The following is a 20,142-nucleotide window of genomic DNA, read 5'->3' as shown; positions in this document are numbered from 1 at the left end:
ACAGGCTGGAGTGCAGTGGCATGATCTTGGCTCACTGCAACCTGTCCCCTCCCAGGTTCAAGCAATTCTCCTGTCTCAGACTCCCGAGTAGCTGGGATTACAGGCACCTGCCACCATGCCCAGCTAATTTTTGTATTTTTAGTAGAGATGGGGTTTCACCATCTTGGCCAGGCTGGTCTTGAATTCCTGAACTCAGGTGATCTGCCCATCTCGGCCTCCTAAAGTGCTGGAATTACAGGCATGAGCCACCGCACCTGGCCTTCAATGCTGTATTTTCTAAGATTCATCCAAACCGTAGTGTGCATATGTAGTTTATCCTTTTGGCTGCTGTATTACAAGGTAGTGTTCCAATGCATGTACAAAAAATTTCTGATTCGGCAGGGCGCGGCGGCTCACGTCTGTAATCCCAGCACTTCGGGAGGCTGAGGCAGGTGGACCACTTGAGGTCAGGAGATCAAGTCCTGCCTGGCCAACATGGTGAAACCCCGTCTCTAGTAAAAATACAAAAATTAGCCAGGCAATGTGGTACGTGCCTGTAATCCCAGCTACTCAGGGGACTGAAGCAGGAGAATTGCTTGAAGCCAGGAGGCGGAGGTTACAGTGAGCCGACGTCATGCCACCACACTCCAGCCTGGGCAAGAGAGAGAGACTCCGTCTCAAAAAAACAATAACAAAAACACATTCTGATTTATTTTCTTTTTTTTTTTTGAGATGGAGTCTCACTCTGTCACCCAGGCTGGAGTGCAGTGGCACGATCTCGGCTCATTGCAACCTCCACCTGCCGGGTTCAAGTGATTCTCCTGCCTCAGCCTCCCAAGTAGCTGGGACTACAGGTGTATGCCATTCATGCCTGGCTAATTTTTTATATTTTTAGTACAGATGGGGTTTCACCAGGTTAGCCAGGATGGTCTTGATCTCCTGACCTCGTGATCTGCCCGCCTTGGCCTCCCAAAGTGCTGGGATTACAGGCATTGGCCACTGTGCCTGGTCTTCTGATTCATTTTCATGTTGGTAGGCATCTGGGTTATTTCTGATTTTCATAATGCAGAATAGAAACTTCTTCCTAAAATTTGTCAAGTTGTGCAACTAAATTTGTAAAGCTCACAAAGTTCTGTTTGGCAGCTTCCTGAATCACAGTTTCATAATTTAAGAAGAAAAATCTCATTTTCCCCCTATTTCACTAGTTGCTGTTAGCATGAAAGGGTAGCTTTTTTTTTTTTTTTTTTTTTTTTTGGAGATAGTGTTACTCTCACCCGGGTTAGGGTGCAGTGGCACGATCTCGGCTCACTGCAACCTCTGCCTCCCGGGTTCAAGCGATTCTTCTGCCTCACTGCCTCAGACTCCCAAGTAGCTGGGATTATGGGCACACACCACCGGACCTGGCTAACTTTTGTTTTTTTAGTAGAGACAGGGTTTCGCCATGTTGGCCAGCCTGGTCTTGAACTCCTGACCTCGAGAGATCCACGTGCCTCGGCCTCCCAAAGTGCTGGGGGATTACAGGCATGAGCCACCGCATCCAGCCATGAAAGGGTATCTTTGATGAATCATCATCATGATGACATTGGTGGAAAGCCCAGATGTTTCTGTTAAATTATATGATTATTCAACTCAATGATCATGATTATTTCACATGCTCCAGTACACCCTCCCACCTCCTTTCCCAGAACCACAATCTATTATGTCTACCTCTGATTCCAAGATTTCTTCAATTTTAAGTTTATACACTTCATAGGCTCAGTGTCACTTTATAGATATTAACCAAAGTTGACAACAACTATAAACTGATATACTCAGAAAGTTGATTTATCATTACTTTGTTAGAAACAAACACTACCAGGAGTATTATAATGCATCATCTTTTCACTTGTTAAAATTAACCAGCATAAGATTAAAAATAACCTCTACCCTGAAAAGTAAAACTGATTTCATGGCTCAGTGGCTGTAGGCAATAATTTACACAGACGTAAAGCTATCAAAAACTTAGTAGGTGACCTTGGGAAATTTATCCTCCTCTTGCCTCAATTTACTCAGTTGTAAAATGAAACTAAATAACTAGCTCCACAAAGACCAGAAGCTCCACCAAAGAAATATGCATTTTGCATACCTCTTACGTATCTACTCAAAATAGTACCTACCAAATACCAGACTCTCAATAGATACTTGCTGGTATAGATATGTATATAGCCTTGCAATGGCATTTTTCCACCCTCATGTTTCACTTCAATTGTGAAAACCCCCAAATTCTATAAAATCAAACCATATTTATGCCCCAACAAACAGGTCAGTCTAACACTGGCTTCATTACATGTACATAACAGATTCATTCACTCAACATGTACAGGGTACCTCCCATATGCTAGGGATGCAGAAGAAAGAACAAGGCAATAGACAAGAAACAGACAATTTTAGGTGTTTAGGAAAGTCTTAATGTCTGTTATAAATGGACCTATTCAGCGTTTTTTACATATACAACCATTTTTTCTATCAGATTGGTGACTCTTGAGTTTCATTAATTTACTCATTTTTAGTAAATAGGGCATTAGTGAGTAGAATATGGAACCAGAGGGCTGGTTGCCTGAAGACGTGCCTCTAATCTAGGACCTGATTCCAGTTACGGGAGGTGATGAAAGAGTGTGACATAGCATGTGGACTCTGGAGTCAGCATGCTCACAGTGAATCCTAGGTCCACCACCTAGCTGCTGAGTAACCTTGGCAAGTTACTTCTCTGTGCCCATTTCTACATTAACAAAATGGGGATAATAATATTAACCATTTCGGAGTTAAATGCTTAGCATGGCACTTGGCACAAAGTAAGCAGTAAGTAAATGTCACCATAACTGCACTATGATAAGTGCTTCTCCTTTGAGAGTTCTGGAAAAACCCTATCAACACATAAAATGAAAGTCAGTAAGGATAAACGTTTATGGGACAGAGGCAAAGGAAAGTAAAAAGGAGATGTGAGCAGAGGGTTACAGTGGTATCTCTCAGATTTTGAGGAAGGAAGAGAGATGGGTCAGAATTTTACCAAGCATTCTCACCTCAAGTGATCAGATTTCCTAAGTTCATAAAAAAGACAGCAGAAGTAGATAAATGTCTGTGGAGAGTCCCTAAACAGACTCTGAAGTTAGAAGAATCACACTCTAAAAGGCGACATGCTACAACGACTTCAGCTTTCCACCTGCTTTTTGCTGTCTTGGCCTGCCAGGCTCTCCTTTCCTACACATCATAAGGTTCCCACACCTTTCTTCCAAACTTTCCCACCCCCGCCCCACCACTCCCTCTGACAAAGCTGAGTATCTTGTCCGGTCGGTAGGGAGCATGTCAGATAAAAAAGGCTTTGCAAAGAGAGGGAATGCCACCTTGGCCAGCAGCCTTGAGAAGTTTTAGGGAGACTATGAACCTTTTCACAATTATTCAAATACAGTAGGGGGCATGGCCATATTGCTACTTACCTTCTCAAGTACCACTGCTTTGCTTTGTAACTCTAAAAACATTTCCTGGCCAGGCATGGTGGCTCACGCCTGTAATCCCAACACTTTGGGAGGTTGGGGCGGGCGGATCCCTTGAGGTCAGGAATTCAAGACCAGCCTGGCCAACATGGCAAAACCCCGTCTCTACTAAAATACAAAAATTAGGTGGGTGTGGTGGTGCATGCCCATAGTCCCTGCTACTCAGGAGACTGAGGCAGGAGAATCAGCTAAACCCGGGAAGCAGAGGTTGCTGTGAGGCAAGATTGCCCCATCGCACTCCAAACTGGGCAACAAAAGTGAAACTCCATCTCAAAAAAGCAAACAAAACAAAAAAAAATTTCCTTTCACACAATTTCAAACCAATTTTTTAATGCTTACGGTGTGCTACTGACTTCCCACAACAAATTCTACAGCTCATAACCTGAGCCACTTCACAAAGTAGGGAGTGTGTTTCAAAATTAGTAAGGATTGAGTAGACATGTAATAGGTGTGATGTCCTGTAAAATTCATCAAAAATGGGATTCTACTTTTATTTATGTTGGCTACAGGTTGCCTATTGTGCAATGATAAAGGGGCAGCCCATTTTTTAGTTAGTTCTTTTAATTATTTAAGGAATTTTGAAAAATATTGCCAACAAAAAAATTATTTCATCCAGTTTATTCTGCTACACTTCCATCATCATACATCTAGACTTTTTACTATCTATAGCCCATACTAGAAAAATATGGTCTCTTAGCTTCTTGATAAAATCCTACCTCTTAAACATGTAGATTTCTATGAAAAATTTTAAAAAAGGGAAAAGATACAAGACAGAATATAGTCAAGTGAATATGTTTTGAGGCCAATACTTGTCTTTTAGTCCCCAAAGTTGCTTTCTTTGCCACCTTTCCTCTGCTATCCCTCCTACCCAGCAACCTTTACTGCTCTCCACTCAAACCAGCTTCTTTAAGACCTTGGTGGTGAGGGAACGTACAGTGATTAAGAACATGCGCTTTGAAGGCTGACTATTGAGGAATATGAATTCATTCCCTGGCTTCAGTTCAAAAAAGTGCTAAGTACTATTACATGTGAAGTTTCTAGCTCTCTGCACGGCACACAAAAATATCCCACAAATGGTGGCCACTAGTAGTAGTATTATCTTACAGTCACATCTTTTATTGGTAATTGTTTGGGTTTCAGAACTACAAAAAAAAATTGTTATATAATGAAGAGCCTTTTAGGACTCTCTAGTGTCCAGAATAAAACTAAGATGGGAAGAAAAAAGAAAACTCTGTCTACAAAGAATGAGTCTATGATTATCAGAAGGGGAGCAACCAAAGAAAGACTCAAAGATTACATCTGATATTCTGAAATTGTTGTTCTGTCAATAAAAAGCGTGATTTGACTTTTTGATAATGCCAGGCCAGAAGAATAGGTGCAACAAAAAGGTGGTGGCAGAAAAGAAGGGGAGAATTGGCTGGGAAGACAAACTGTGAGAGTTCAGGGAGCCCTGCTCACAAAGGCAGAATCAGGAAGGCAAGCAGAGTGTTTAGTCGTGAGGAAGGAAACGGGGGCATGACCCAGCTACCTGTCCCTCAGTAGCTCAGGAGGTCCAAGGTCATGTCAGCTGTGTGTGGAAGGAGCCAACTGCACCAAGACACTGAACACCTAAACTCCAGATCTCTGGCAGTTACACATCCTTGGAAAGATGCTACATTTCTGAGGTTTGTATGTGGGTGGGTGCTTTTTATCTACTATTTGACAAAAGGCACTTAATGGATCAGAAAATGGCTCTCTGCCTTCTTAACAGGGTTGGAAAAGAGCAGAGGGCTAACAGATTTATGAATCACAGAATGGTAAATGAGGACACTGATCTACATTGAAAATACCGAAAATCTGTGTTTTAAAAAGTCACACATCACTCTGCTGTTTCCAAAACTACTAGTATGAAGGTAACCATGCCCAATCTTTTGGGGTTCTGAAAGTTTGACCATTTCCCTCATATGTTCCAGCCTGGGCAGACGCCTCTATGTTTACAAAACACAATAAAGTACTTTTGCCTTTTCAAAGTTTAAAGAAGCATACAGCAGGTGAACTGATTAACACGTGCTTGAGGCCGGACATGGTGGTTCATGCCTGTAATCCCAGCACTTTGGAAGGCCGAGGCAGGAGGATCACCTGAGCCCAGGAGTCCAAGACCAGCCTGGGCAACACAGTGAGACCTCATCTCTTTTTTAAAAAAATTGTTTATTTTCACTTTGGCTCTTCTTTGACATACTTCTTTTTTTTTTTTTTTTTTTTTTTTTTTCCAGACGGAGTCTTGCTCTGTGGCCCAGGCTGGAGTGTAGTGGCGGATCTTGGCTCACTGTAACCTCTGCCTCCTGGGTTCAAGCGGTTCTCCTGCCTCAGCTTCCCCAGTAGCTGGGATTACAGGCGTGCACTACCATACCTGGCTAATTTTTTTGTATTTTTAGTAGAGACGGGGTTTCACCATGTTGGCCAGGCTGGTCTTGAACTCCTGACCTCAAGTGATCCGCCTGCCTTGGCCTCCCAAAGTGCTGGGATTACAGGCATGAGCCACCATGCCTGGCCCATTGACATATCTCTTTATATAAATTAAAAATTTTAATAAATAAAACAAAAAACATGTGTTCAATTCCTGACCAGGTATACTGTTTTCTTTTTCTTTTTTTTTGTTTTTTGAGATGGAGTTTCACTCTTGTTGCCCAGGCTGGAGTACAATGGCGCAATCTCGGCTCACCACAACCTCTACCTCCCGGGTTCAAGTGATTCTCCTGCCTCAAACTCCTGAGTAGCTGGGATCACAGGTGTGCGTCACCATGCCCAGCTAATTTTGTATTTTTAGTAGAGACAGGGTTTCTCCATGTTGGTCAGGTTGGTCTCGAACTCCCGACCTCAGGTGATCCGCCTGCCTTGGCCTCCCAAAGTGATGGGATTACAGGCGTGAGCCACCGCACCCGACCTTTACTGTTTTCTAGAGTACTACTAAACAATTAAAAAAGAAGAGAGACAATAACAGAAATGTCCACAGAGGAAAAACTAAAATATATATATTTTACACAAACACATATACAATCTACACATACATACATGCATGCATGCAATATATATGATATATACATATCTGTATACTTGTGTGTGTATATATGTTAATGAAACTGCAAGCATAAATTTTCTCCCCTTAAACACTAATTCCTGGGTTTACATGTATATTTCGAACCTCCTTCCCCATACAATGGATTTTTCAAGTGCATCTGTCAGAGACAAAGGCTTCTAGGTACCTCATTCTCTGCACTATCCGGGGCTTAATCATGGCACTCGCTGTTAAGTATACTCAACTTTGTAGTGGGTAGTCATAGTAACGCTGCCAGTCCTTTTCAAGATTCTTTTTCTTCTATTCCTCTTCTAGCCTTCCTCCTATCTCAAAACAGCACTTAAAAATACAGAAAGCTGCTACTTGGTGAGTGGGACACTTTTTTGGACACTGCCTTAACTGGGAGAGAAAAGACAAGGGCAAGGATGTGGGCTATTTGCATAGCATTGCCTTGAACAATGTTTGCCGTAGTTGTGGGAGTTGGAAGGAGAAAAGAATAACTAAATAGAAGCTGTTAACTGTGCAAACAGCAGGGTGACTCTTCCAACCAACACTAAAGGGAAGCCATCTTTTGTCTATCCTGTCCATTCACAAGACGATCTCTAACGGCAGGATGGAAAAGGAAAGCATTAAAAGTATTACACCATGGCCTGCAAGCAGATCCTCCTTACAAATTGTAGTTGCTGAGAAACTGGCATGGAAGGTCATACATACACCAAGAGGATAAAGCCACCACGAAATATAAAAACATACATGTCTGTAAATGCATGAAAAAGTTCAGGATGAAAACTCCCCAAACTCAAAAGTGGGCATCCTCCAATAAGGAACCGGGGAGAGGGTGCTGGAGGTCCACAAAGAGGAAAGTTCACTTTGTAACTGTACTTATGTATTATGAAACATTTAAACAATGAGCATAGATTCATGTATTACTTGTACATTTATAAAATCAAATTTTAAAAGGCATGGCAGAGAGTTTTATGAGATTTAAAGTTAGAAGTATAAAAACCTAGCAGATTACCAGCACTCAAAGACTCAGAAAGAGACATAATCCTCAACAAGGCACATCAGAAGTCTCCTTTCACACTGCATTGAAGCAGATTGATTTCATGGATATTATATCCTGCAAGATTTTGGAACAAAACAATTCATGTGACAAACCCTGAAAAGTTTAGGCTACCTTCTATTTACAAACTTTTTTTTGAAACAGCATCTCGCTCTATTACCATGACTGGAATACAGTGGTGTGATCACGACTCACTGCATCCTCAACTTCCCAGACTCATGCCATCCTCCCACCTCAGACTCCTGAGTAGTTGGCACCAGAGGCATGTGCCACCATACCCAGCTAACTTATTTTTAATTTAAAAAATTTTTTTTTTGTAGAGACAGAGTCTGCTTATGTACAGGCTGGTCTCCAATTCCTGGGCTCAAGTGATACTCCTGCCTAGGCCTCCCAAAGTGCTGGGATTGCAGGCTTGAGCCACCGTTCCAGTCTCACACATTTTTGCTATTCTTCAGCACTGTTATTTAAAAACAGAGCTTCTGAACTCAAATGTAAAATTTAATTTTTAAAACCTCTAAGTACACTCAAGATTTCTAAAATAAAAAGATAATACCACCTTAATACACAGTCTTTCAAAGCTATAATATTTTATATACTTTTAGCAAATACATTACTGAGAGTTAAAAATTGGGTTGCTAAAGAGGCAGATGCCAGTCATCGTAATATTCACTAGGCATTGAGGTTGAGTCCATGTACCATTCTCGTAATTAAGAAGTCTTTTAAAAACTGTTTGGGGCCAGGTGTGGTGGCTTACACCTGTAATCCCATCACTTGTGAGGCCGAGGAGGGTGGATCACTTGAGTCTAGTTCGAGAGCAGCCTGGCCAACATGGTCTCTACTAAAATACAAAAAAAAAAATAGCTGGGGTGGTGGTGCGCACCTGTAATCCCAACTACTTGGGAGGCTGAGGCAGGAGAATCTCTTGAACCTGGAAGGAAGAGGTTGCAGTCAGCCCAGATTGTACTGCTGCACTCTAGCCTGAGCACAGAGTGAGACTGTCTCAAAAACACAAAATAAAAAAACAAAAACTGTTTGGTCTCAAGTGTTCATGTATTTTATTTTTATTTTTTTAAAAACAGGGTTTCGTTCTGTTGCTCAGGCAGGAGTGCAATGGTGCAGTCACAGCTTACTGCAGCCCTGAACTTCTGGACTCAAGTGATCCTTCACCTTAGTCTCCCAAAGGGCTGGGATTACAGGTGTGAGCCACCAGCACCTGGCCTGGTCTCTAATTTCTTAAATGAGTAGTCAAGAGAATCAAAGTTCTGATATCCAGATACATTACAGAAAGCAATATTCCATTGACTCTGCAGGGTAACAAGGAACTTTTTATTCATATCTAGAGTGTTCCTTTCTGTAAGTATGCTTACGTTCTAAAGCACATATAAATGTAACAGGTAAAAACAAAAACTCAGTCCAAAACAAAAAACTATTTTGAATCAATTTTATATTTAAATAAAACATGTAATAGTGATTTTTTTTTTTTTGCTAATATGAAATGTTCTCAGTGACTAATCTTTAAAAGCAGAGGAAGTGGGACACGTATATATTCCCAGTAACTTTTCTGAACACATACACATCAATAAACTATTTCAAAAATAAAGACCATGAGGAAATATTAGAACTTACGTGGTAACAAAAAACACCATACCGCCTGGGCACGGCGGCTCACCCCTGTAATCCCAGCACTTTGGGAGGCTGAGGTAAGTGGATCATTTGAGGTCAGGAGTTCGATAACAGCCTGGCCAACATGGTGAAACCTCGTCTCTACTAAAAATACTAAAAATGGTAGGTGCCTGTAATCCCAGCTACTCAGGAGGCTGAGGCAGGAGAATCGTTTGAAATCGGGAGGCGGAGGTTGCAGTGAGCAGAGGTCATGCCACTGCACTCCAGCCTGGGCGACAGAGCGAGACTCCGTCTCAAAAACAAAAAAACACCATACATTTGCTAGTATCCTAAGGTAGAGACTGAGATCACGCTCATGAAACTTTAGCTTTAAGTCCTCTAGTCCCGATCTTGATCATGCTTAAGCAACAGTATTAACTGATAAGAGTAACAAAATACTGTTATTTTCTACAATAATTAATAACATAAAGATAACCTTTAACAATGAGGGAGTCCAGTCAACTGAAATTCAGGTAATTCCCACAATTGATACTGTTCAATAGTTGAAAAGTTCCTCTACATCAAACCTTGTACCATAACTGTTACAGAGAAATGACAGTCTTCTTTCTATAGTAGCATGCTTAATATGTAGATTACACAGAAAGAAAACATTTTTGGTGCAAACAAAAAAAGAGGCGGTGTTTAAAGTACAAAGTAGAAGGATTCCTCAGAAAACAAAAGCAAAGTCTCCTTGAGAAGATTCTTATCTTTGCCTCCTCTGTATAGGAAGACTCACTTCTGCCATGAGCTGACAATCCATCTGCACATTAGTGCAGACCACTCCAACACACAAACTATGGCTTCACTAAGACAGTCAATGGTCAGTGTCTGCCCACTGACTTATTACTCAGTAAGTAATAAGGAGGTGTGAACACTGGGCAACCTCCAGCTGAATCACATAGACCCTTCCTGTTAACCTGTCACCCACCATCACAGTTTTGGATCTCTTGTTAGATTTAAAGAGCATGGGTTTAGCAGAAAAGCAATCTGGGTCAACTGCATTCCTTCTCTTAAGCTGTTACTTGGGATAAATCGAGCTTCCGCATCTGAAAAAGTGGCATTCAGTTTGGCGCACACAAACTTATTAACCATGATTATCACAACACATGCACATAGGAAATAATCAATAAATATTATCTTTTCCTAGGAGATGGATCGGGGCAGAAAAGGTGAGTCAGGGTTTCTTGGCAGGGCAGAGCAGCTAAAAGATTTGTACTTGTGCTTTAAAAATATAGGGTGTATGGTGGGAAAGGTCCTTCCCTCATCGCTTCAGGCAAGTTTCTGTCTCCCTTTCCAGAACTCATACAGCAAAGTATTTGGCGCTTACAGCATGCCTTGTATCGTCAGCCACATTTTCATACTGTAAGAGCTTGTATTTGAAAATCAGATTTAACATTCCTCTAAGAGTCCTTATATTCATTGACGACTCTAGGGCCCTACTCGTTTGCCAGCACAGTAAACAGTTCACTAATAAAAAATACAGCACGGAGTGTGGGTCAGCTGCATTCAGAGCGCTCGCGTGTGCCAGTGGCTTTAAAAGTGGAGGCCTCTTCCCGACAACCGATATAACCCTGGGAGGTAGCCTTCCAAAGCCACACATTCCCTTCTTGTCTTCTCATGCACCGCTCCGATTTCTCTTTCCAATCCGGGGGACGGATCTGTCATATTTACCGGCATGGAAGGAACGCTCGTAAAAAATTAGTTACTAGTATTACTAAGGCCGCACTGGCGGCGGCGGCGGCGCAGCAGCCACACCTACTCAGCTGCCGCGGCGCCGGGAGCCCGAAAAAGGCGGGTCAGAGGGGCCACGGGGTCTCCGGGCGCCGCCCCCTCTTAGACTCCTTCGGGGAAGGTTCCCAGCCCGGGACCCGGGACAGGGCCAGGGCGCCCCGGGTGGAGGGGGGCAGGCAGGCCGCTTCTCGCCCCCGCCCAAGCACGTGGGAGGCCGGCGAAGACCAGCGCCCAGCCCAAGACGGGAGAGAGACCAGGCCAGGCAGGAGCCGCGGCCTGGGGAGACGCGGAGGTAGAATCCGGCGCCCGAACCGCGGTCGTCCCGCTGCCTCCTCACCGGGCGCCTCGGGAGAACAGCTTCCCGAGGGTAGCCCCTAAAGCCCCCGCCTCCCGGCCACCCGGCTCGGGTCACCCCGCGGGAGGCGGAGCTCCGCGGGGGCCGGGCCGGCCCTCCCCAGCCGAATGCTCCCTTCCCCGCGGGCGTCCCCATGCCCCTCCGCCACTCACGGTGCTTGCCGCTGCCGCTGCTGCCGCCGCCGCCGCTCGGGTAGCTCAGCAGCAGGAAGGGCAGCGGTGAGCCGGGGGACGGCGGGGTCCTCCAGGAGCGCTGCTGCTGCGGCGGCGGGCGCACTCCGAAGCCGGCGCCTCCATCGCCGGGGTACAGCAGGAAGAAGGGGGCGGCCACCGGCGAGTCGGGCTCCGACTGCCCGGCGGGGGAGGCCGGCGGCGGCCCCGCCTCGCCCTCTCGGTCCGTGCCCCCGGCGGGAGCGCGGCGCGGCTCCTCCGGCCGCCACTCCCCGCCCCTCGCCGGCTCCTCGCTGCAACTTTCGGCACCAGCGGTGGGCGGCGGCGGGGTCTCAGCCATGCTCACTCCTTCCTTCGCCGCAGCCTCCGATTCGCGCCCGGGCCTGGGCGGGGGAGCAGAGGGTCAGGGCGAGGAGCCGCCGCCCCGTCCCGTCCGCTGCGCCGCCGCCGCCACCGCCACCTTTCTTCTCGGCCACGGGCTGGCGCCTGGGCTCCGCCGCTCGGCCCACAGCCCGCCCCGCCAGGGTCCAAGCCAGCTGGAGGGACCGCCCCGCCCGACGGCGCGGCCTCGCTACCGGCCGCCTCCTCCAGCCCCTCCCGCCCCGGCCCCCAGCCTGTGACTCGGCTCCCCTAGGGGGCAGCGTCCTCCTCTTCCCACTCCCCACCTTCCGCTTCCCTCCGGCTGGGCTGACTGCCTCCCGACCCTCGGGCCCTGGGCCTCTTCCTTACCCGCCCCCGCTGGGCCCTGTAAGGCGGTCAGGTGTGTCTAGTGCTTGAAAAGTGGAAGACCTGGCGAAATACCTGGCGGCGTTTTGTCGTGTAACCGCCAACTTTATCGGTAGCACGAAGGCACAAAGATCTGGGTTGAAGAAGAGGCGAAAGCTAATTTTAAAAAAGCACCTCCCTGCCCCCGGGTATTAAACTGTACCATTTGCCTTTCACACACTGCAACTTCAACCGTTGATTCACTGTTTGGAGTATTGAGCTCTTTATGTGAGAAACCAAAGGTGGGTGTCTTCCTTCCACCACCTCTTTTGTTCCCGTCTTGTGCGCTGTACTGAAATCCTGTATTTGCTTTGACTTTAATTCCCTGGTTTTCTAGTGCCGCGGGTGCGCATGAGTGCATTTTAAATCAAACAGCTTAGAATTTATACGACAAATGTCAATTACAGGTCGACAGTTTTCTCTTTCACAGTGCCCGTGTCTCGCTAGTAATTAGCCACCGTTGCTTTGAGAATTCGAATCAATGATTACTGATCCAGTAATTCCCTTAAGTAAACATTTCTTTCGGCAATAAAGACAATTTCCAGTTACTCTCATGGTTCTTTATCCTGGATTCCTAGCTGATTAGCCTTGTGTTTAATGCTGGCATAGAAGCCATGTTGACTCATAATTAAAAATCACTGTTGTGTAACATTTTGCCCACCTGCTTTTTCCTCTTCTCTGTTCAGCCCTTCCCTGTGTAGAGGAAGTTGTACTTCTTTGAAAGGAAAAGTAAACATTTTTATTACTGTTGTTATTCTCTGTAAATCACTTTTGAAATTACTACTCGCAATTACCATGAGACTTACAATACTACTTTTCACTGAGTCTTTTAACAAGAAGCATTCAAAAGGGAAATGTTTACAGGATAGCTTCAGTCTTAGAAAATTTCTTAGCTTTTCGGTTTCTGGCATTTCCCTGACCTGTTGATCCCAGTCCTACTACCTATTTGAGTAAGTTATTTGTCCAGCTCTGTAAAATGATTATGTTATTCATAGATACTGTGAGGGCTAAATAAGAAATAGAAATAAAGCGTTTAAAATACAACTTAACATTGGGGTAAATAATAATTATTACGGCCAGGTGCGGTGGCTCACGCCTGTAATCCCAGCACTTTGGGAGGCCGAGGCGGGTGGATCACGAGGTCAGCAGTTCGAGACCAGCCTGACCAAAAAGGGGAAACCCCGTCTCTACTTAAAATACAAAAAAATTAGCTGGGCGTGGTGGCGAGTGCCTGTAATCCCAGCTACTTGGGAGACTGAGGCAGGAGAATCGCTTGAAACCAGAAGGCAGAGGTTGCAGTGAGCCGAGATAGCACCACTGCACTTTAGCTTGGGCAATAAGAGCAAAACTTCATCTCAAATAAATACATAAATCAATAATTATTAGTAGTACTCACTTCAGCAGCACATAAACTAAAATTGGAACGATACAGAAAAGATTAACATTTCCCTGCACGAGAATGACCTGCAAATTTGTGAAGTGTTCCATATTAAAAAATAATTATTATTAGGGATATTTTATCATTTTGGCAAAATAACATTTAACTTACAATAATAAAAACATACTGAGTTGGGGAAAAAAAGCCTTTTCATTATATCCTTAGCATTTTGAAGGTGGTTTGGGCCTTAACTCTTGGTGCTGGTGAGAATCTCAACAGGAAGACATATTTGTCTTTTAGGAATTGCTAACTGCATGATACCTTCATAAGAAAAACTGAAAGCATTTGACCCAGCAATCTCATTAACTGGGTATATACCCAAAGGACTATAAATCATTCTACTATAAAGACACATGCACACGTATGTTTATTGCAGCACTATTTACAATAGCAAAGACTTGGAACCAACCCAAATGCCTATCAATGATAGACTGGATAAAGAAAATGTGGCACATATACGCTATGGAATTATGCAGCCATAAAAAAGAGTGAGTTCAGGTCTTTTGCAGGGACATGGATGAAGCTGGAAGCCATCATTCTCAGCAAACTAACACAGGAACAGAAAAGCAAACACCGCATGTTCTCACTCTTAAGTGGGAGTTGAACAGTGAGAACACATGGACACAGGGAGGGGAACATCACACACCGGGGCCTGTGGGGTAGTGGGGGTAAGGGGAGGGGAAGCATTAGAAGAAATACCTAATGTAGCTGATGGGTTAATGAGTGCAGCAAACCACCATGGCACATGTATACCCATGTAACAAACCTGCACGTTCTGCACATGTATCCCAGAACTTAAAGTATAATTTTAAAAAAAGAAAAACTGATTGAGATGTATTATATGGTTTTAACACTCATCCTTAACTGGATCCTTTATCTTGTTTTTACATGCAGAAATTCCAAAATATTATATTCTCATCAGGGTCCTTCACAGAGATGTTTTGCAATGTTTTGGTAAAGAATTTGACAATAATCTACACTTAACCACTGTAGGTAGAAGAAATGAGAGCAGAGTCCTCACAGATGATTCTTGAGAAAGGCCAATAATCAACCAAGGGAGTCACCAAGTTAAAATATGAAACATTATCTAGTCTGAATTGCCAGCTTTCTCCTTTCTTGTTAGTCAAGATACCTACAGGTATAGAAACATTGACATGCTGTGAAATCATTCAGTGTATTGGATTTTTGTGCCTCTATTTTTAAAAAGTTTTTTGTAAAAATATAGAACACTTCACAAATTTGTGTATCATCCTTGTACGGGAACCATGCTAATCTCTGTATCATTCCAATTTTAGTATATGTGCTGCTGAAGAGATCACTGTGCCTCTATTTTTAAAAAGAGTTCTATTTATGTTTTATGTAATTAATTAAATGGCAGTAAAATTAATACAGAAAAATCAACTGAAATATGAGTTCTTACAATTTATAGACAAGGCTATTTATGAACTTTTTCTTTAAAGGTGGATGGTACTCCAAGTTCCTAGTTTCTTAATGCTTTTAGCTTTTGAATCAATAATACAATCACAGTTCTGCATTAGCTTTAGTGACATAAAGGGCTGATTCAGCTGCTATACACATTTAAGGAAGCCAAGATTATAAAAACAAGCCTAAACATGTTGCTCCTTCTTGAGAATGCACAGAGCATCTCCCTATACTGTTTTAAAGTGACAACATCCAAGCACTATAATTAAGAATCGAGCTCTATTAATTTTCTTGTGAAATAAAGCAGGAGGTGATTTTCAACTTTATCTGCATTTTATTTTTAGTTATCCATGTTTGGTTTTTAAAAAATCCTTTGGTGGGCTGGGTGCGGTGGCTCACGCCTGTAAGACTGAGGCAGCAGAATCGCTTGAACCTGGGGAGGCAGAGGTTGCAGTGAGCCGAGATCGCGCCACTACACTCCAGCTCGGGTGACAGTGCGAGACTCTGTCTCAAAAAAACAAACAAACAAAAAATCCTTTGGTGATCTTACAGATAGATACTTAAAAATATATTTTAAAACTTTTTAAAGATCAATGTTATGGACAAGAATATATTTTTAGTACAGTATAAACTTCTTAAGAGCTGTGAATCAGACCAGGTGTGGTGGCTCACGCCTATAATCCCAGCACTTTGGGAGGCCGAGGCAGGCAGATCACTTAAGGCCAGGAGTTCAAGACTAGCCTGGCCAACATGGCAAATGGCAAAATGCCAGCTCTACAAAAAATACCAAACAAAAAACCCCACAAGAGCTGTGAAGCAGAGAAGATACCACTTGAGGCCGGGCGCCGTTGCTCATGTCTGTAATCCCAGCACTTTGGGAGGCTGAGGCCCAGCTAAGATTGTCTTCTCTGGGCTGTCTTCTCTGATATACTTCTTTCCATGAACATCTAATAATCTCTCAACTCTTCCTATGTTAGGGATTTCTAAACATTTTCTCCATTGTGTTAAGACTAGTTATGTACTTGTCTTAGCCGGGCGTGGTGGCTCATGCCTATAATCCCAGCATTTTGGGAGGCTAAGACGGGCAGATCACTTGAGGCCAGGAGTTCAAAACTCCTGGTTCAAAACCATGGAGGTTTCACCATGAGGCCTGGCCAACATGGTGAAACCGCCCATCTCTACTAAAAATACAAAAATTAGCCGGGTGTGTTGGCACGCACCTGTAGTCCCAGCTATTCGGGAGGTTGAGGCAGGAGAATTGCTTGAACCCAGGAGGTGGAGGTTGCAGTGAGCCGAAATCGTGCCACTGCGCTCCAGCCTGGGCGACAGAGCGAGAATCTGTCTCAAAAAAAGAGGCAAAAAAAAAAAAAAAGGGAAGATACCACTTGAGAAGTGTTGATACTCTTTTTCAGTATAGTATATAGATTTATTATGATTTTAAAATAATGGTTTTCTTGAGCTGTTTATTTTACATTGTATGGCACTTGGGAAACATCATAGTTGAAAAGTGTACTCAATTTAAGCCTTTGTGTTAAACTTATTTTAATAAATGTAGAAATGTATTGATACTAATTAATATAATGCCTTATTGTGAAAGCTCTGAGTCCATTGTTCAGAATTACTAGATTTTGATGACTGTAACTTAATGACTTATTTTTTCAAAACAGTCATTATAAAAACACCTAGTTACAACATTATAGTGTGGGGATAAAATAATGAAAAATTTAAAAATATATATTTAAGGCCAGGTGCAGTGGCTCACACCTGTAATCCCAGCACTTTGGGAGGCTGAGGTGGGTGGATCACCTGAGGTCAGAAGTTCGAGACCAGCCTGGCTACATGGCAAAACCCCATCTTTACTAAAAATACAAAAAAATTAGCCTGTCATGGTGGCGGGTGCCTGTAATCCCAGCTACTCAGGAGGCTGAGGCAGGAGAATCGCTTGAACCTGGGAGGCGGAGGTTGCAGTGAGCTGAGATCGTGCCACTGCACTCCAGCCTGGGCGACAGAGCAAGACTCTGTCTAAAAAAAAAAAAAAAAAAAAAATATATATATATATATATATATATATACACACACACACACACACACACATACACATACAAAAATATATATATATATACACACACACACACCCACATATATATACATATATATATATACCTAGTCAATTTATATCTCCTCTCTATATATATTATAGATACTCTTAAGAAGTAAAAACAATATATTTATCTACCTTGAGTGGGATGAAGAAAAAAATAAAGGTAATATATTTAGGTCAATCGATAGTTTTCTTTGGGTGCAGACATATGGATACATTTTTCCATTTTTCTACTTTTCTGTATTTGTAAGTAGTCTGTAATGGCTGCATTGCTTTTAAATAGAAAATAAAACACATTGAGGGGTTATTTTAATTCATAGTTTCATAATTATATATTTTTTATGAAGACCTAACAGCAAAGTTGTGTTCCTTGTATATACTGTGGAGAAATAGGGTTCAAGAGGAGCTGATCATATTTGTGTCTTTTTTGAGTGTTTATTATTATTATTTTAGAGATGGAGGGTTTCACTATGTTGCCCAGGCTGCAGTTGAACTCCTGGCTTCAAGCAATCCTCCCACCTCAGCCTCCAGAGTTAGTCCAGATATTCAAAAACAATATTCAAGAACAATATTCAAATAACCTAAACATTGATGGAAACCCTACTCAAGTTCCTACTACATACAATTTCCTTTGCCAAAAGTTGAGATGATCCTTACTATCAGATTTCTAATTAAAATAATGTCCTTGGACATAAATGGAAATATTTAGTTTATAATAATGTCATACTTAAAGGTCAATTATTTCTAGTATTATGAATCAGAGAACTGAAGAAAGAAGACTTCTCCTAGTTCTATATCACTGACAATACATTGCTTCACAGGTCTAAAGAGACTCCAGAGACAATTCAGCCTCCAGTGTAGCTGAGATTACAGGTGTGAGCCAGCAGGCCCAGCTAGTGTTTATCTTAATAATGTTGCTGGCCGGGCGCGGTGACTCAGGCCTGTAATCCCAGCACTTTGGGAGGCCGAGGTGGGCAGTTCACAAGGTCAGGAGTTTGAGACGAGCCTGGCCAACATGGTGAAACCCTGTCTCTACTAAAAATACAAAAAAAAAAATTAGCCGCGCATGGTGGTGTGTGCCTGTAGTTCCAGATACTCGGGAGGCTGAGGCAGGAGAATCACTTGAACCCGGGAGGCGAAGGTTGCAGTGAGCCAAGATCGCGCCACTGCACTCCAGCCTGGGTGACAGAGAGAGACTTCATCTCAAAATAATAATAATGATAATAATGATGTTGCTGAAGATTTCTATGAATGTATCCAGTAATTCTCATGCTCTCTCTTTCTGGTTCTTCTTCTCCTTCTTTTTTTTTTTTTGAGACAGAGCTTTGCTCTTGTTGCCCAGGCTGGAGTGCAGTAGTGTGATCTCGGCTCACTGCAACCTCCACCTTCTGGGTTAAAGCAATTCTCCTGCCTCAGCCTCCAGAGTAGCTGGGATTACAGGCGTGCACCACCATGTCCGGCTAATTTTTGTATTTTTAATGGAGATGGGGTTTCATCATACGGGTCAGGCTGGTCTTGAACTCCTGACCTCAAATGATCCACCTGCCATGGCCTCCCAAAGTGCTGGGATTACAGGCGTGAGTTACTGTGCCCGGCCTGTCCTCTGCGTTAAAGCTTCATCTTTTCTTGCCAGTTATTATTGCAAAGGACTCCTCATTGGTTTCCCTGCCTCTGGTTTTAATCTATTCCAGTTGCCCTGCTCTACAGCAGCTAGAATGAGTAATTTACTTTTCTGAACGTTCACCTAATTATGCCACAACATTTCTTAAAAACCTGGGTTCACTTCTTTATGTGTGGGATACAATCTAAATGCATTAACTACCTAGTAAGGTCTTTCATGATCTAACCCCTTCCTATCTTTCCAATATTATCCTCCTATCTTGTCTTACCCCTTGTTGCCTTTGACTAAGCTTTAACATGTTTGCCATTACTCATATTGCGGTACCCGTTCTTCCTCTCCCAAACTCTACTCAAACAAAGCTGTGATACTTTTTCTGCTCTCCCCATGTAGAAAGGTACATGCCATTTTTGAGGTCTCATAGTACCCTATTTAAGCAGTTAATTGTTTTAATTGTAATGAATTTATGCCTCTTCCCAAATTTAGCATCGTTTTTTCCTCTTTTTACAATGCATAAAAGATTTATTTTTTGTACTATTTGTTCCTTGTACTATTCCTAAGTAGTTATCAGTCCCTCTCACTTATTTTTTATTTTTTTGAGACATGGCCTCACTGTCACCCAGGTAGTGGCACAATCATGGCTCACTGCAGCCTTGACCTCCCAGGCTCAAGTGATCCTCCCACCTCAGCCTCACCACTAGCTGGGACCACAGGCGCACACCACCATGCCCAGCTAATTTTTGTATTTTTAGTAGAGATGGAGTTTCACCCTGTTGCCCAAGCTGGTCTCGAACTCATGTGCTCAAGTGATTTGCCCACCTTGGCCTCCTAAAATTCTGAGTTTACAGGCGTGAGCTACTACGCCCAGCCTCACTTATTTTTAAGACCCTTTCCTCTTAAGATCACATCAAAATTCTTTTTTTCTATCTGTGACCATCAGGTATCCGAATAAAAGCAATTCAAAAAAACTGGACTGAATAAGAAGCTTAAGGAATAACTTATTTAGCTTACATTTATATTTCCCTTTTTATGTATGTTCAAGTGTGGTGTGAATAGAAATATAAGTATGTCTAAAAGAGGTCATTTAATAAATGTGAAAAAATTTTAGGTGCTAATTAAATTCTGCCATCTACTTAATTTGAATAATCCTCACCCCACCATGGCAAAATTGTCTATTATATGTATTAAAACAGGCCATATAAAACAATGCACAAGGGTAAAAGGTACAGCCCTTCTAGCATTAAGTTTTCTTA

The 20,142-nt window shown here is 43.0% G+C and overlaps 1 protein-coding gene and 2 pseudogenes across 12 annotated transcripts in view, besides 4 other annotated features; 1 reads left to right on the top strand and 2 right to left on the bottom strand.

Annotated features, from left to right (window-relative positions):
* The window catches only part of RUFY3 (RUN and FYVE domain containing 3), a 104,853-nt gene extending 91,798 nt beyond the window's left edge, over nucleotides 1–13,055 (bottom strand). For 11 of the 12 annotated variants that reach the window (XR_007096385.1, XR_007096384.1, XR_938709.4 and 8 more), the window contains exon 1: nucleotides 11,528–12,083. Coding sequence is in view for 8 of the 12 variants with exons in the window: in XM_047449825.1 (XP_047305781.1) it covers nucleotides 11,528–11,885 (358 nt within the window). In the remaining 4 variants the exon portion in view is untranslated. Of the gene's footprint in view, nucleotides 1–11,527; nucleotides 12,084–12,473 lie in introns of those variants that run through there. The other variant, XM_011531750.3, reaches the window with a different exon arrangement.
* Nucleotides 10,910–11,441: an enhancer, noted in NCBI's record as "H3K27ac hESC enhancer chr4:71571098-71571629 (GRCh37/hg19 assembly coordinates)". NCBI's record gives its function as "activates a minimal SCP1, AML or CMV promoter by ChIP-STARR-seq in naive H9 embryonic stem cells {active_cell/tissue: H9 hESC(naive)}" and the evidence as "EXISTENCE:reporter gene assay evidence [ECO:0000049][PMID:30033119]".
* Nucleotides 10,910–12,507: a biological region, named in NCBI's record as "H3K27ac hESC enhancers GRCh37_chr4:71570032-71570564 and GRCh37_chr4:71571098-71571629".
* Nucleotides 11,071–12,230: a silencer, noted in NCBI's record as "silent region_15468". NCBI's record gives its function as "represses an Ori minimal core promoter by ATAC-STARR-seq in GM12878 lymphoblastoid cells {active_cell/tissue: GM12878}" and the evidence as "EXISTENCE:reporter gene assay evidence [ECO:0000049][PMID:35858748]".
* Nucleotides 11,975–12,507: an enhancer, noted in NCBI's record as "H3K27ac hESC enhancer chr4:71570032-71570564 (GRCh37/hg19 assembly coordinates)". NCBI's record gives its function as "activates a minimal SCP1, AML or CMV promoter by ChIP-STARR-seq in primed H9 embryonic stem cells {active_cell/tissue: H9 hESC(primed)}" and the evidence as "EXISTENCE:reporter gene assay evidence [ECO:0000049][PMID:30033119]".
* On the top strand, nucleotides 13,699–13,804 carry RNU6-784P (RNA, U6 small nuclear 784, pseudogene; annotated as a pseudogene).
* RNU6-520P (RNA, U6 small nuclear 520, pseudogene) lies at nucleotides 14,964–15,067 on the bottom strand (annotated as a pseudogene).

Source organism: Homo sapiens, chromosome 4 (genome assembly GCF_000001405.40).
Source record: "Homo sapiens chromosome 4, GRCh38.p14 Primary Assembly".
NCBI lineage: Eukaryota > Metazoa > Chordata > Mammalia > Primates > Hominidae > Homo > Homo sapiens.
The sequence above is the reverse complement of the archived record's forward strand: the minus strand, read 5'-3'. Positions and strand labels throughout refer to the sequence as shown.